Raw genomic sequence first — 16,013 nt, forward strand, 5'->3', positions numbered from 1 at the left:
ATTTATCTTCCTGTCCTGAAGGGAGTTCCTCCTAGATCTGGTCAGACCTTTGTATGGTAATTAATTAAGATTTAGATCCCCTGTTAGGAAACCTGCTGGGTTAAGGATTTTTGATAGGAAGGCTATGGCTTGTCAGTGGCCTCAGTGCTTTTGGGCTATGCCCTTGTTTACACTGATAACAAGATGGTATTGGAGTGTTATAGGGTTACAGAGAAGACCTTCAATTATCAATTATAGGTTTTAAATTTACCCTGGCTTTTAAAGGAACAGGGTACCCCGTTTTTTCTTTACTACTTCTATCTTTCTTTCTCTTTGACTTCTTTGTCTCTCTGTTTCTGACTCCCTCTTTGTCTCTTCCTCTCTCTCTTTGACTGTCTGTGTCTCTTTCTCTCTCTCTTTGACTCCCTCTTTGTCTCTGTCTCTTCCTCTCTCTGTCTGTTTGGCTTTCTGTCTCTTTCTCTCTTTCCTTTCTGCTGGTCTTTCCCTGCCTCTGCCAGCTGCTTATGCTGCTGTTCTCCCCTCCTCTTCCCCCTTTTTGATGGCTTCGGCAGTGTAAGACTGCCACCTCCTTGGGTTTTTGCACTGTGTGCAATAACTCCATGGTTTCCTTGTGGTATTTAAGGGGGGTTCCCCCAGAGGTTAGGAACTCCCTTTCTTTCCATATTGCAGCATGGGCATGTAGGAGTAGATAAGCATACTTGCTATCTATATATACATTTATTCTTTTTCCCTTTCTCAGTTCTAAGGCTCAGGTAAGTGCCACTAGTTTTCCTAACTGGGTGCTGGTCCCTGGGGGGAGAGGCTTACTTTCAAGTACAGTTACATCACTAACTATGGCATAACCTGCCCTTCATATCCCATTCTCCACAAATGGACTTCCGTTGGTATATAGGTTAAGGTCAGGATTAGCTAAGGGGACTTCTAAGAGATCATCTCAGGTGGCATAAGTCTGGACTATAATTTGTTGGCAGTCATGCTTGATTGGTTCTCCATCCTCTGAGAGAAAAGTAGTTCTCCATCCTCTGAGAGAAAAGTGTCAGGGTTGAGGGCCACACACATATGTATTTGAAGCACCGGTCCCTCAAAGAGTAGCGCCTGGTATCTAAGTAGGCAGCTGTCCAATAGCCATAAACTTCCTTTGGCACCTAGTAAGCCATTACATCATGAGTAGTCCAGACAGTGAGATCCTTTCCTTGTATTATTTTGATAGTCTCTGACACTAAGACAGCCACTGCTGCAACTACCCATAAACAGTGAGGCTAGCCTTTTGCTACTACATCAATTTCCCTACTTAGGTATGCCAGTGATGTGCGGTTGTCCCACGAGTCTGAGTAAGGACTTGAAGAGCTATTCCTCCTCTCCCTGTGACGTATAAAGAGAAGTTTTGTCTTGTGGGAAGGCTTAAGGCTGGAGTTTGAGTTTGTTCCTTCCAATGCCCAGACGTCAGGGTTAATTCCCTCCTCAAGCAGGGGACAACAAATGGGTAACTTGTTCCCTAGATTCATGTGGATAATGGCTCCAGGTTTGGCTAATATATCCCTCCCTAATAAGGGTGTGGGACTTTCAGGCATAACAAGAAAGGCATGTGAGAAGAGCAAAGTCTCCCAATTACAACTGAGGTGGGAGAAATACCTGGTTACAGGCTGTCCCAGGATTCTTCGGATGGTAACAGATCTTGAGGACAGTGGTCCAGGACAGGAGATTAACACTGAGAAGGCCGTGCCAGTGTCCAGGAGGAAGTCAATTTCCTGGCCCTCAATGGTTAAGCATACCCAGGGCTCAGTGAGGGTGGTGACATGAGCTGGCACTTGCCCCAGGCACCCTCAGTCCTGTTGTTGGATCATCTGGTTGGGGGTTTCTGGCCCAGAGAACCATTGCACTCTGGGGCAGTGCACCTTCCAGTGATTGCCTTGGCATAGCAGACAGGGATGAGGGGGCAGCTTGTTTCTCATTGGACAATCTTTTTTGAAGTGTCCTTTAAAAAAGGACACTGTTAACAAGCCCTACCAGCTGATTGGCCTGCTCCATTTTCTCTCCTCTCTGAACCACCAAGGTTTGTTTGTCTGAGGGCCATGACTAAGGCTGCAGCCTTTCTCTGATCTTGCTTTTCCTTTTGGGCCTGTTCCTCTTGGTCCCTATTATAGAACACCAAGGTTGTCAGGTTTAATAATGCCTCCAGATTTTGTTCAGGGCCCAGGGCTTGCTTTTGGAGCTTTCTCCTGATATCTGTGGCTGATTGGGTAATAAACTTACCTTTTAGGATTAACTGTCCCTTGAGTGAGTCAGGTGACAGGGGAGTATATTTTCGTAAGGCCTCCCGTAGCTGCTCAAGGAAGGCAGAAGGATTTTCTTACTTTCCCTGAGTTATGGTGGACATCACTGAAGAATTCATGGGCTTTTTCCTAATCCTCCTCAGTCCTTCTAGAACACAGGTCAACAGATGTTTGCGACTCCAGTCCCCATGATCTGAGTCAAGGTCCCAGTGGGGATCCATACTGGGGATGGCTTGCTGACCAGTAGGGAATTTGTCCCTTTCTTTGGCTGTCATTCTATCATTTACTTGACTAAGATACCAAGTATTTCCAAACTCTTGGGCTGCAGCTAAAGCCACATTCTTTTCATTAAAGGCCAGGGTTTGATCTAACAATAGCATGACATCTCTCCAAGTGAGATCGAAGGTTTGCCCTAGACCCTGTAGGACATCTACGTACCTGTCAGGATCATCTGAAAACTTCCCCAGGTCTGCCTTGATCTGCTTTAAATCAGAGAGGGAGAAAGGGACATGTACCCGAGCTGGGCCAAATTCCCCTCCCCCTACAGCTTGAAAGGGACATAACCGATAGCCCGGGGGTTTTTGTGGTCCTTTGGAGATTTCTTTGCTTATTTCCTTCTGGGCAGGGGAGATTAGAAGAGGCTTATCATTAATAGGAGGGGGAGCTATAGGGAGGCTAGGATATGGGGGTAAGCTGAGAGGTCCTCCTGTGGGATGTAAATTGCAAGCTTTGCTTAGTTGTGGATTCTCCTTCAATGAAAAGAAAGCTTGGACATAAGATATTTCACTCCATTTGCCTTCCCTCTTACAGAAAAGGTCAAGCTGCAGGATAGTATTGTAATTTATACTTCCCTCAGGTGGCCATTTTTCCCCATCAGAGAGAGAATATTGGGGCCAAGCCATAGTGCAGAAAAAAATGAGCCGCCTCTTTTTCAGGGTTTGCGAGTCAAATTGGTCCCAGTGGCTTAGGATGCATTTCAAGGGTGAGCCTGTTGATGGCTGAGTGTTTCCCATCTGAAAGACAAAACTACCCGTGGTTTAGGTTTGTTTGTTTCTCCCCCTGCCCAAGAACCTGCAATGGTCCCTGGACCCTGCTGATTGGAATAGTTGTGCTCACTGACGCAGCAGCAGAAATACCTCTTGCCCAAGAACCTGCAATGGTCCCTGGACCCTGCTGATGGGAATAGTTGCACTCACCGACACAGCAGCAGAAACACCTCTTGCCGAAGAACCTGCAACGGTCCCTGGACCCTGCTGACTGGAATAGTTGCGCTCACCAACACAGCAGCAGAAACACTAGTTTTCCTCCTAGACCACAAGGAGGACTGAGGAATGTTGGATATAGTGGCCCTTACCAACGCATTCTTGAAAACCTGCACCCTTGCCTGTCCTCCTAGACCACAAAGAGGACTGAGAAAAATTGGATTTAGTGGCCCTTACCAATGCATTCTTGAAAACCTGTTAGAGTCCTAAGCATTTTCCTGTTAGTATTGGGACTTTACCTGTGTCCTGTAAAGATGTTATGCCCCAAAAATGAAATGGAGGGCCATACCCTGAGGAGGGGAGGGATCTCCAGAGTTGGAAGAGTGCTGCCTTTTGATCCTCACTTATATGAATAAGAAGGATATCATTTCTGAAGCTCCCCATATCCTAGCTTCCGGAATAGCTTTTGTTAGGCCTGCTAGTCTGAGGAGGGATCCTAAAATTCCAGATAAGATAGTCCCCTGCCCCGATGGGGCTTTGGGCAAAAATTATGTTTTCTGATTGGCCTGGGTGCCTAAAGAAGGTAACAGAGTCCTGAAGTTTATACTAGAAATCATTCTTGTAGGAGAAACTAGAAAAGCACTAGAGACAGGGAGTGGTTTTTAGAAGTGGGACTAGCCTTGGAGAAGAGAGGTGAGAGGAAGTTTGTCTGACAGGCTTTAGTACCCAGGCGGCAAGGGTCAGGATAGATAGGGTAGACGGGTGAGTCTTGCTTGGGTGACATGACTTTGAGAGTTCCGCTCATGGCTCAGGGTCAACCAACTTGTTGTTGGCTCCCCGGAGCTGAATGGCTTTCCTCTCCATCAACCTTTGGCTCAGCCCAGAAGTAAAGGAAAAGTGGAAGCTGGTTCCAGGCAAACCAACGCTCCCAACTCCGAAGAGTCGGGGTATGTTAGAGAGCCCTTTCCCAGAAAGCCTGACACCTGTGTCTTTAGTCCGGTGGCCACGCTAGTTGCTTTTAACTGGTCGACAGGTGCCCGGTATTTAGCCACCGAATTCTAAGGAAAAATAGGACAGAATAGCAAGTGAAAGGGGTCCGATGGTACTCACTGCTTGACGATAGGCGATAGTCCCATCTGGTTCACCAAAATGTATCCGGAATTGGTTCCTTCCAGTGGGTTCTTGGTCTCACTGACTTCACGAGTGAAGCCGCAGACCTTCGCAGTGAGTTTTACAGCTCTTAAAGGTGGCACGTCTGGAATTGTTTGTTCCTCCCAGTGTGTTCGTGGTCTCGCTGACTTCAGGAGCGAAGCCGCAGACCTTCACAGTGAGTGTTACAGCTCATAAAGGTAGTGTGGCCCCAAAGAGTGAGCAGCAGTAAGATTTACTGTGAAGAGAGAAAGAACAAAGCTTCCACAGCGTGGAAGGGGACCTCAGCAGGTTGCCGCTGCTGGCTCAGGTGGCCAGCTTTTATTCCCTTATTTGGCCCCACCCACACCTGCTGATTGGTCCATTTTACAGAGTGCTGATTGGTCTGTTTTTACAGAGTGGATTGGTGTGTTTACAAACCTTTAGCTAGACGCAGAGCACTGATTGGTGCATTTTTACAGAGTGCTAATTGGTGTGTTTACAAACCTTTAGTTAGATACAGAGCGCTGATTGGTGTGTTTACAATCTTTTAGCTAGACAGAAAAGTTCTCCAAGTCCCCACCTGACCTAGAAGCCCAGCCAGCTTCACCTGTCAATGTGACATAAAAGTATTACTTTAACTGTATCTCTGTAGTATGACTTTTCTTTTAAAATAAATTATGTGCTTGAACTATTTTAATACAAATTAAAATATTTTAAGAAAGGGCTTTTATAAAAATAAAGACTGAAAGTATAAATTAAAATCATGCAATGAGTAGAATACTTAAAATCAATAAAATGACACATTCAAGAGGTACATTTTTCACTTTGCTTTTTATATCTTTGGTTTGATTATAAGAAATAAGAGCATAGAGGCAGCTCTAGGAACTAGGGCATTTCATAAAAGACCTGTTATGGGGACTACAGAAGTAATGTTAGCTGGTTTATTCCTGTAGTAGCTAGGCAGAGATGGACTTCCTAGAAGAGCTGGACTTTTGTTTATAGCCATTGTCAAGAGACTTTCTGTCCATCCAATTCCTCCATTTTAATAGTCATTCGTGGACAAATCAATCAATCTGTTACATCTTCCTTTTTGACAAAGCAACTGGATTTAAGGTACACCACATATGAGCACTTGATCTTGCTCACATATTAACATTAAGTAGCAAGTGTTGAGTTGTTATGAACAATGAGATTTATGTAATCATTTGATACCTGAACTGTCTTCTGCCATAGGGTGGCTAAGACGCTTCTTAGAGGGATTCCTGTATGACATCTTTCCTTGCTGACCAAAGTGTGTTTCTTCTGATCCTAAATTCGTGGTGCTGCTGTTATACTGGGTCCTGCCAGAAGATGGGTATCACTGTGCTGTCAAGAGAGAAGATATCAAACCAAAGTTACCTGATTGTCTGCAGAATCACAGCAGGCTTTTCTTTTTGGGGCAGCAACCTCAGGGGAGGAGGCATTGGATTTATAGTTAAGCACAGTTCGAATTTTGTGTTTACGATTTACTTGCTAGGCTGATATGTGCAGCTTATAACCCTTCCAAACCTTGGCTTCCTCACCTGTACACCGAGAACCCTCCTAGGGCTATTGTGGAATTCAAGAGAGAAAATACATTAGCAGGAGGTTGGCACAGGACTTGCCTAGCACATGGGATGGGAATGGTGAGCTACAGTGTTCAATGACAAGTGTGGTTCTCATCCTGGCTGCCCGTTACCTGGGTATCTTTGAAGAAAAACCCCTGCCCAATGCCAGACCAACTAAATAGAACATTATTGAGGTGTGGGGGGGTGGCGGTTGAGGGAAAGTAGCATTAAAAAAACAAAACAAAAAAAGGCCCCACCCCCACCCCACCCCACCGCCCCCCCGACCCCATCTCCCCACAAACTCTTCCCAGGTGATTCTCAGGAGCTGGGATGGGAAACACTGCAATGGAAGATGAAATACAGCTGGGTCTATGGGAAATGGAGGGAAAGATCGAGAGACACAAATCAGCCAGAATTCAAAAGTAGTCAAATACTTGCCTATGCTTCAAATTTCAGGGGTCTCAGATGCTCCCTGATCCTAGTTATGTTTTAGTTATAAAATACACATAACAAAAAATTTCATTTAAAAAATGTAAATTTATAGTTACATCTGCAAGTTTAGTGGTTTTAAGTATATTCACAGTGTTGTATAACCAATCTCCAGAACTTTTTAATCTTGCAAAGCTGAAACTCGATACCCATTAAACAAGGACTCCCCATTCTCTCCTCCCTCCTGCCCTCCTGGCAACCACCATACTACTTTCTGTCTCTATGATTTCAACTACTCTAGATACCTCATATGATGGGAATCATATAGTATTTGTCTTTTTGTGACAAATTAAAAAAACAGCAAAACCCAAACTCTTCCCAGGTGATTCTAAGAAGCTAGGCTGAGAAACACTGCCATAGGAGATGAAATGGGCCAGGCACGGTGGCTCATGTCTATAATCCCATCACTTTGGGAGGCCAAGGTGGGCAGATCACTTGAGCTCAGGAGTTCGAGACCAGTCTGGCTAACATGGTGAAACTCGGCTCTACAAAAAATACAAAAATTTGCAGGATGTGGTGGCGAGTGCCTGTAGTCCCAGCTACTTGGGAGGCTGAGGTGGGAGAATCGCTTGAACCTGGTAGGCAGAGGTTGCAGTGAGCTGAGATCATGCCACTGCACTCCAGGCTGGGTACTGTCTCAGAAAAAAAGAAGGAAAAAGAAGATAAATGCTGCTGGGTGTATGGCAAATGGGTGGAAAGATCGAGAGATGCAAATCAACCAGAATTTAAAATGTCAACATTTCACATAGTATAATGTCTTCAAGGTTTATCTATATTGCAGCATGTGCCAGAATATCCTTTTGTCTTAAAGTTGAATAATATGCCATTGCATGTATAAACCACATTTTGTTTATCTATTCATCTGTCAATGGTTATTTGGATTATTTCCACCTTTTGGCTATTGTAAATAATACTACTGTTGAATATAGGTGTACAAATATCTGTTTGAATCCCTGTTTCCAATTCCTTTTTTTTTTTTTTTTTTTTTGTGAGACAGACTCTCGCTCTGTCTCCAGGCTGTAGTGCAGTGGCATGATCTCGGCTCACTCCAATCTCTGTCTTTTGGGTTCAAGCGATTCTCCTACCTCAGCCTCTCAAGTAGCTGGGACTACAGGCCTGTGCCACCATGGCCAGCTAATTTTTGTATTTTTAGTAGAGACAGGGTTTCACCATGTTGACCAGGATTGTCTCAATCTCTTGACCTCATGATCCTCCCGCCTCGGCCTCCCAAAGTGCTGGGATTACGGGAGTGAGTTACCATGCCTGGCCCCAGTTCTTTTGGGGATATACCCAGAGGTGGAATTGCTGGATCACCTGGTAATTCTGTGTTTAACTCTCTGAGGAACTGTGGGATGGGAGTAGATGATGGGAGGTTGCTCGGGTGCAATGTGCATTGCTCCAGAGATGGATGCACTGAATGTCCTGACTTTACCACAATGCAGTATATCAGTGTAGCAAAACCGTATTTGTATTCCATGAACATATAAACTCAATTAGCTGGGCATGGTGGCTTGTGCCTGTAGTCCCAGCTACTCAGGAGGCTGAGGTGGGAGGACTGCTTGAGCCTGGGAGGTTGAGGCTGCAGTGAGCTGAGATCATGCCACTGCACTCCAGCTGAGGCGATAGAGTGAGACCTTGTCTTAAAAAAAAGAAAAACAGAAAAACCAAACAAAAAACTGTTAGAGGAGCTACTGTTTCCTGCAGTGGCTGCACCAGTTTACATTCTCACCAGCAATGCACAAAGATTGAATTTGTCCACATCGTCTCCAGCACTTGTGATTTTCTGTTTTTGATAATAGCCTTCCTATCTCACGTTAAGAGATACCTCATGGCAGTTTTGATTTGTATTTCCCTCCCTAATCACTAGTGATGTTGAGTGTCTTTTCATGTGCTTTTTGGCCATTTGTATGTCTTCTTTGAAGAACTGTCTATTGAAGTCCTTGGTCCATTTTAAAATTCAGTTGTTTGTCTTTTTGTGATTGACTTGTAGGAGTTCTCCTACATACATTTTAAAATTCTGTTTCCCAAAGCGTGTTCCCTGGAACATTGGTTTGGTAGGATCTTCATGGCTTTTGGAGGAAAAAGAGTTCTGAGACCAAACTTATGGGATGCAGTGGGTTAAATAAAATTTAAACTTGTTTCTTTCCTGTAAAACAGCTTAGAATAGTAATACACTAAATATGTATACTAAATCTCTAAGATGGGAGAGTAGAAAATATTTCTCAAACTTACTTGACCACAGAACCCTTTTACAGTATGATTTTTTGCAAGTCTAGAATTTGGCAGGCCAGGATCTGGGGAATGCTGTCCTTTATTCACTAAATTGGCTGTTGGAAATTTCCTTTTTTACCTTATGGCTTGATTTTGTTGTCTCTTCGTGTCCTCTGTTTACTTATTATGGCCGGTGGCTTTCCCTGGGTCTCCTCTCTTCCTTTTCTCACCTCTCTTAGTGGCCAGCAAATCTTGTTGATTTTTTTTCCTCCCCAGACATATCTTAAATCCATCCCTTTTACTGTTTCCCAGTCCTCAGTATTGGTTGCTTGAACTTCTACGAAAGTATGAACCAGTCTTGCTTGACTCTAAACTACCAGAATAATCTTCTAAATATGGAAATTTCATAACACCTCTATTTAAATTCCATATTAGCAGTTAGCAGTGGTTGTGTCACAAACTTTTGAGCTGTGTTAGAAAATGTTATTCAAGGCCGGATGCGGTGGCTCACACCTGTAATCCCAGCACTTTGGGAGGCTGGGGTGGGCAGATCATGAGGTCAAGAGATCGAGACCATCCTGGCTAACACGGTGAAACCCCGTCTCTACTAAAAATACAAAAAATTAGCTGGGTGGGGTGGTGGGCACCTGTGGTCCCAGCTACTTGGGAGGCTGAGGCAGGAGAATGGTGTGAACCCGGGAGGCAGAAGTTGCAGTGAGCAGAGATTGCACCACTGCACTCCATCGTGGGCGACAGTGTGAGACTCTGTCTTAAAAAAAAAAAAGAATGTTATTCAAGTACTAGACTTAGTGCTGTCTACTTAGAAAAAATACAATAGAGCAGAATCAAAGGCATTCCTAATCCTTTACTCTCAATCACTTGCATTCTTCTTGAAATGAGTGAAAGCAATCCTTTCTTGAGGGGCAGAGTTAGAGGGATGTGATACAAATTACATATAATCTGTAGTCTAGTGTCTCTGTACCATAGTAACCAACTGTTACTGTTGCAGCATTTATTTTGTGGCAATCATTGTTTATTGCAATGATTTATGTCTTATTTGTATTTCTTGAGTTTTCTCAAAATTTGATTATGCTTCATGTGTCTTAGAAAAACAGATTATCCTACTTACCAATTGTTCTCAGTAGGGCACAGTATTCTCCCCCCATCTCTGAGGTTACTTAGGATGGATACGGGGATTGGTAATGTCATAATGGCTGTGGGTACTATGGGTGGTCTGGAGCCCAAGGTGTTAAATATCCTGCAATACATGAGACAGTTCCATAATTGTCCCACTCCAGGTGTCCTCATTGGGAAGCATTGGTAGTCATCAAAGCACAAACTTTGGCAAGGCACGTAGAACCTCATCACACCTGGTCCCTGACTATGTTTTCCGCCTAGCATAATACCCTGTACTTCTGCTCCCTGCTGCTCTCTAGAATGTGAAATATTCTTGTGCAAATGAGCTTTTCGTGTACTGTTTCCTCTATCTGGAATGCTCTTCCATCCTTGACTGGTTAATAAACTCTTCTTTCTTTGTATTCATTCTTCTAGAAGCCATCTCTGACACCTCTCCTCTGGGGAGAATTAGTTTGTCTTTCTTCTGTGTTCTCGTAGCACCCAGCATACATCTGGTCACCACTGGGATGTTCACAAACTTCTTATTTCCCCTTCTCTGGAAACATGGTAGCATATATTTCCCTGCTTTTCCTTAAACTTCAGCACTATCAAATGACTTGCTTTGGACAATGAAATATGAGTGAAATTGACATGCGTAACTTCCAGATGGAAACGTCAATAGGCAGTCACAATTTGCCATTTTTTCTTTATTTCTGCTACGGTAAGCCAGATGATGGCTGCTCTGTGATACCAGGCCTTGGAGTAAGTGGAGCTCCCTGCCAACATGCAACTGGTGTATAACATGAACAAGAGATGAGCTGTGTTGTTTTAAGCCACTGAGATTTTTATTTTTATTTATTTATTTATTTATTTATTTATTTATTTTTTTTTTTTGAGACGGAGTCTCGCTGTGTCACCCAGGCTGGAGTGCAGTGGTGCGATCTTGGCTCACTGCAACATCTGCCTCCTGGGTTCAAGTGATTCTCCTGCCTCAGCCTCCTGAGTAGCTGGGATTACAGGTGCCCGTCACTACGCCCAGCTAATTTTTTTTTATTTTCAGTAGAGATGGGGTTTTACCATGTTGGCCAGGCTGTTCTCAAACTTCTGACCTCAAGTGATCCACCCACCTTGGCCTCTCAAAGTGCTAGGTTTACAGGCATGAGCCACTGCGCCCAACTGCCATTGAGATTTTTAGGTTGCTTGTTAGTACAGTATACTCATGCTCGTCCTGATGGATATACCTCTATTATAGTAGTTATCACATGATTTTTTTTTTTTTTGAGACAGGGTCTTGCTCTGTCACCCAGGTTGGAGTCCAATGGCATGATCTTGGCCCACTACAACCTCCACCTCCCGGGTTCAAGTGATCCTCCTGCCCCAGCCTCTCAAGTAGCTGGGATTACAGGTGTGTGCCACCATGCCTGGCTAATTTTTGTCTTTTCTTTTTTTTTTTTTTGAGACGGAGTCTTGCTCTGTCCCCCAGGCTGGAGTGCAGTGGTGCAATCTCGGCTCACTGCAAGCTCTGCCTCCTGGGTTCACGCCATTCTCCTGCCTCAGCCTCCAGAGTAGTTGGGACTACAGGCACCCGCCACCACACCAGGCTAATTTTTTTGTGTTTTTGGTAGAGACAGGGTTTTGCCATATAAGCCAGGATGGTCTTGATCTCCTGACCTCATGATCCACCCACCTCGGCCTCCCAAACTGCTGGGATTACAGGCGTGAGCCACCGCGCCAGGCCATTTTTGTATTTTTGGTAGAGACGGGGTTCCACCATGTTGCTCAGGCTGGTGTTGAACTCCTGGGCTCAAGTGATCCAGCCACCTTGGCCTCCCAAATTGCCTAGATTACAGGCATGAGCCACTGTGCCCAGCCATGTGGTTTTGTTATTGTTGGCTTTACCAGACTATCTCCACAGTAGGCAATGAGCTTCTTGATGGTTGGGACTATCAGTTTTTTGCTCCTGTGTTGCCAGAACTTTGCACAGTGTCAAACTGTATTAGTTATCTCTCAGTGTGTAACAAATTAGCCCAGAATTTAGTGGCTTAGAGAAATAATAAGCATTTATTATCCTCATGGTTCCTGTTGGTCAGGAATTTGGGAGCAGCTTGTCAGGGGATAGTTCTGCCTCGGTGTCTCTCATGAGGCTGCATTAAAGATGTTGGGTGGGGATGTCGTCATCTGAAGGTTTGACTGGGGCTGGAGGAGGAGGGGCAGCCAACAGTGTCAGAATATGTGAGGGACTGAGAAGCTGTGAAATCATCGTATTTCAGAATGTGAGGTCAGTAATTCTGAGCATAAAAGTAACAGCTGCAATGGAATGCAAGATGAGGCACACAGGTAAGTGCAGAGGGAGAAAAAGGACTTTGCTAAGAAGAAACAAGTGCAGAGCCTCCTGGAGATATTGAGCTATAAAAGATGCAAGAAAAGATGTTTGCTAAAGGAGGTTGCTGACTCACTTGGCTGGCAAGTTGGTGCCAGTTGTTGGTGAGAGACCTCTGTTCTTTCCCACATGGGCCTCTCCACAGGCCGCTTGAGTGTCTTCACAACATGGTGGCTGGCAGCCCCCGGAGCAGGTGATCCAAGAGAGATATGATGGAAGTGGTGATGTCTTTTATGACTTAGCTTTAGAAGTGACACACTGCCATCATGCCATGTTCCATTTGTTACATGTGATTCACTAAGTCCAGCACACATCCAAGATGAAGAGGATTAGGGTCTACTTTCTGAAGGGAGGAATGTAAAAAACAAACCAAAAAAAAATTGTGGCCATACTTTAAAATCACCCCACAGGAACATATTGGGTTCTCCGTAAATACTCCAGAAGGAAATATCGGCTCTTTTTATTCAGTTTGGTGAGAAATGCCTCAGCTGTTATCCTTTTTAACTCCAATAAGTCCCGTTTTTTTTCTCCCCCTTAATTAACCTTTATTTCAAACTTCATCTCTTAGTTTCTTATTCTCAGCTCCAGAGAATGAATTATGTATAACAAGTTCCAGACATTTTTTTTGTATGTGCCTAAGGTGCTTAAAATAGTAAAGAGCTAAGTCTCACCAACCTTGTTAAGTTAGACCCCAAAAAATTGTCCTAGGAAATAGAATGTAATTTAAAATTTTATCCTTTCCACAGATTGACAAAATCATCTTTACCTTGTTATTAGAGGGTTTTTTCCCAAGCTGGCAGTGACATTTGGGATTCTGTCATCACCAACTTGTTACTAGACAGAAGATTATTTTCCTCATCTGTGGTGTTTTGGACAAAGCCCTGGCTGGTCTTCTTAGTCAGGTTGGGCTGTCAGCCTTGAGCTGGTTTCAGATTCTGGGTAGCGATTCTGTCAGCTGCATTGTCTCAGCATGGCCTTCAGTGCTAAAAATTGTCCTTTCTGAGATGCTGAGCTTCTAGGTTTGTTAAAGTGGATCCCTTTAAACATGTTCAATTCCAGGACTTCTTCAATTCCAGGACTACTACGAACCTCTAGTTTTGTTAGGGAGAGTTAAGTTTCCCCTTTGCTAAAGCTTCCTAGCCACAGCCTTCCCACCACAGAACACTTGCTGAGCCACAGCTCAAATCTGTCTTGGCCCATGGCTGTTTCTCTCAGCTTGTCAGAGTAGAAATGGGTTACTTGGAGACCAGAGGTTGCACACAAATTGAGATGAGGACACCCACATTGGAAAAGGAAAGGTGATAGCTAGAGCCACACTCTTGGCTTTACATTGCCTACCCTCTCTGTGGGAAGTTTGGAGGGAAAGGTTATCCAACCTTCAAAAGCCAATCCCTTGTCCTTCCCTACAGGAACTCACATAAAGCCCTGCCACCCCCTGTTCTACAGCTGGTTTCTCTCCTTTGCTTCTCCATTTCTTTCTTTCTTTTTTTTTTTTTTTTTGAGATGGAATTTCATTCTTGTTGCCCAGGCTGGAGTGCAATGGCATGATCTTGGCTCACTGCAACCTCTGCCTCCCGGGTTCAAGCGATACTGCTGCCACAGCCTCTGGAGTAGCTGGGATTACAGGCATGCGCTACCATGCCCAGCTAATTTTTGTATTATTAGTAGAGATGGAGTTTTACCATGTTGGCCAGGCTGGTCTCGAACTCCTGACCTCAGGTGATCCACCTGCCTTGGCCTCCGAAAGTGCTGGGATTACAGGTGTGAGCCACTGCGCCCAGCCACTTCTCCATTTCTGTGGATGCTAGTTTTTTTTATTGTGGGAAGAAACCTCTTTACCCTACTGTCTTCTTTTAGCAAACACCTTCTTTTTCTTGCATCTTTTGTAGCTCACTATCTCCAGGAGGCTCTGCATTTGTTTCTTCTTAGCAAAGTCCTTTTTTATCCCTCTACACTTGCCTGTGTGCCTCATCTTGCATTCCATTGCAGCTTTTATTTTTACCCTCAGAATTACTGACCTCACGTTCTGAAATATGATGATTTCACAGCTTCTCAGTCCCTCACATATTCTGACACTGTCGGCTGCCCCTCTTCCTGGAAACTTGCATTTTTCTCAACTTAGTGATGTTGGACCCTCTTAATCACCTCTCTTACTTTGCTTTTCTCACCTTTTCTACCACCTTCTCTTTCTTGTCTGTTTCTTTTTTCTATCTGCATTCAGAGCGTCCATGCCCTCTACCTCTCTTCAAGGCCCCTTTGGTGGCAGCCCCGGCTCAGTGGCTGTCAGATGCTTATTCTCTTCCTTTCTTTCTCCCCTTCTTTCAGTCTCATTTTAATTGTCTAGCCTATTCCTGGATCCTGATGAAAATGAAGCTTTTCTTTCCTGCAAAGCTGGTGGTGTTTTTCCAGTTTCTCCATCATTATTGGTGGTTACCAATCTCTCCCTGAAGCAAAGAGTCCTTGACTCGTGTGTGAATCGTGACAGTCCTTTTATAATACAGCATAGACTTGGCCAATGCTCCCCATGAATAAAGTTCTGTTCCTGGCTTCTCCCCTTGTTACTCATGACTGGCCTTCTTGCAGTAGCCTCCTGTGAGCATTCTGTGGCTCTGATCACTCCTTATTCTATTAGAACCTTGATTTGGTGCAATGAGTAGGAACCCAAGCCTTTGAGACATCCTGGGTTCAAACCGGGACTCTTAGCAGTTTAAGCTGCACTGTTCTTCTTGTGTACAAATGGTCAATCTTGATACCTTTGATTTCTTGATAGTGCTAGAGAACTCAGCAGCACCTTTTTGAATTTGGAGAGATTTGGATATTGGCTGTTACTTTGACTTGCAGTGGGCTGAATGCAGTTCTGCTATAATCACGCAGTTGCAGCCACCACTAGTGGAACTGAGTTAGGGGCTTAATAACATCATTGATTCCCAGTCTGCTTCCAGGCCAACTTGCTCCTGAGTCCCCCACATCAGAGCCCAGGTTGTGGAGAGCTGAAGGAATTTCCTTTTTCCCAAGGCCATAGGCAGGCTGTTTCCTCCCTAGCATCAACTGCTTCCTGGTACCATAGACCTAGAGATGTGCAAAGCTTCAGAAAAAACCTTACAGCAGAGGTCCTCAGTGGGGCAGTGCTGCCTTCTGGGAGGTGCTTTGGGAATTGGTGGGGTCCTCACAAGGATTGCGGGGCTCTAATGGCATGTGATGGGTGGATACCAGGGATTTTTGATGCCCTGCAATGTGCGGGATAGTTCTACTCAAGAGTGATTGCCAGAAACCCTGTATAGCTCTGAAATGCCCTGTTGGGTGTGCATATGGGAGAAAAACCTGTGTAATTATCTAGACACTAACTCTTTTATTTATTTATTTATTCATTTATTTATTTATTTAGAGACAGAGACTCGCTCTGTCGCCCAGGCTGGAGTGCAGTGGCATGATCTCAGCTCACTGCAAGCTCCGCCTCCTGGGTTCACACCATTCTCCTGCCTCAGCCTCCCAAGTAGCTGGGACTACAGGTGCCCGCCACCATGCCTGGCTAATTTTTTGTAGAAACGGGGTTTCACCATGTTAGCCAGGATGGTCTCGATCTCTTGACCTCGTGATCTGCCCGCCTCGGCTTCCCAAAGTGCTG

The 16,013-nt window shown here is 44.6% G+C and overlaps 1 long non-coding RNA gene across 1 annotated transcript in view, besides 1 other annotated feature; it reads left to right on the forward strand.

The window, feature by feature from the left end:
• The window catches only part of LOC107986098 (uncharacterized), a 222,236-nt gene that overhangs the window by 59,285 nt on the left and 146,938 nt on the right, over positions 1-16,013 (forward strand). The gene's annotated exons all lie outside the window — the stretch shown is intronic.
• Positions 9,962-10,568: an enhancer, noted in NCBI's record as "OCT4-NANOG hESC enhancer chr3:73213631-73214237 (GRCh37/hg19 assembly coordinates)". NCBI's record gives its function as "activates a minimal SCP1, AML or CMV promoter by ChIP-STARR-seq in primed H9 embryonic stem cells {active_cell/tissue: H9 hESC(primed)}" and the evidence as "EXISTENCE:reporter gene assay evidence [ECO:0000049][PMID:30033119]".

This window comes from Homo sapiens, chromosome 3, assembly GCF_000001405.40.
Source record: "Homo sapiens chromosome 3, GRCh38.p14 Primary Assembly".
In the NCBI taxonomy this organism is placed as follows: Eukaryota; Metazoa; Chordata; class Mammalia; order Primates; family Hominidae; genus Homo; species Homo sapiens.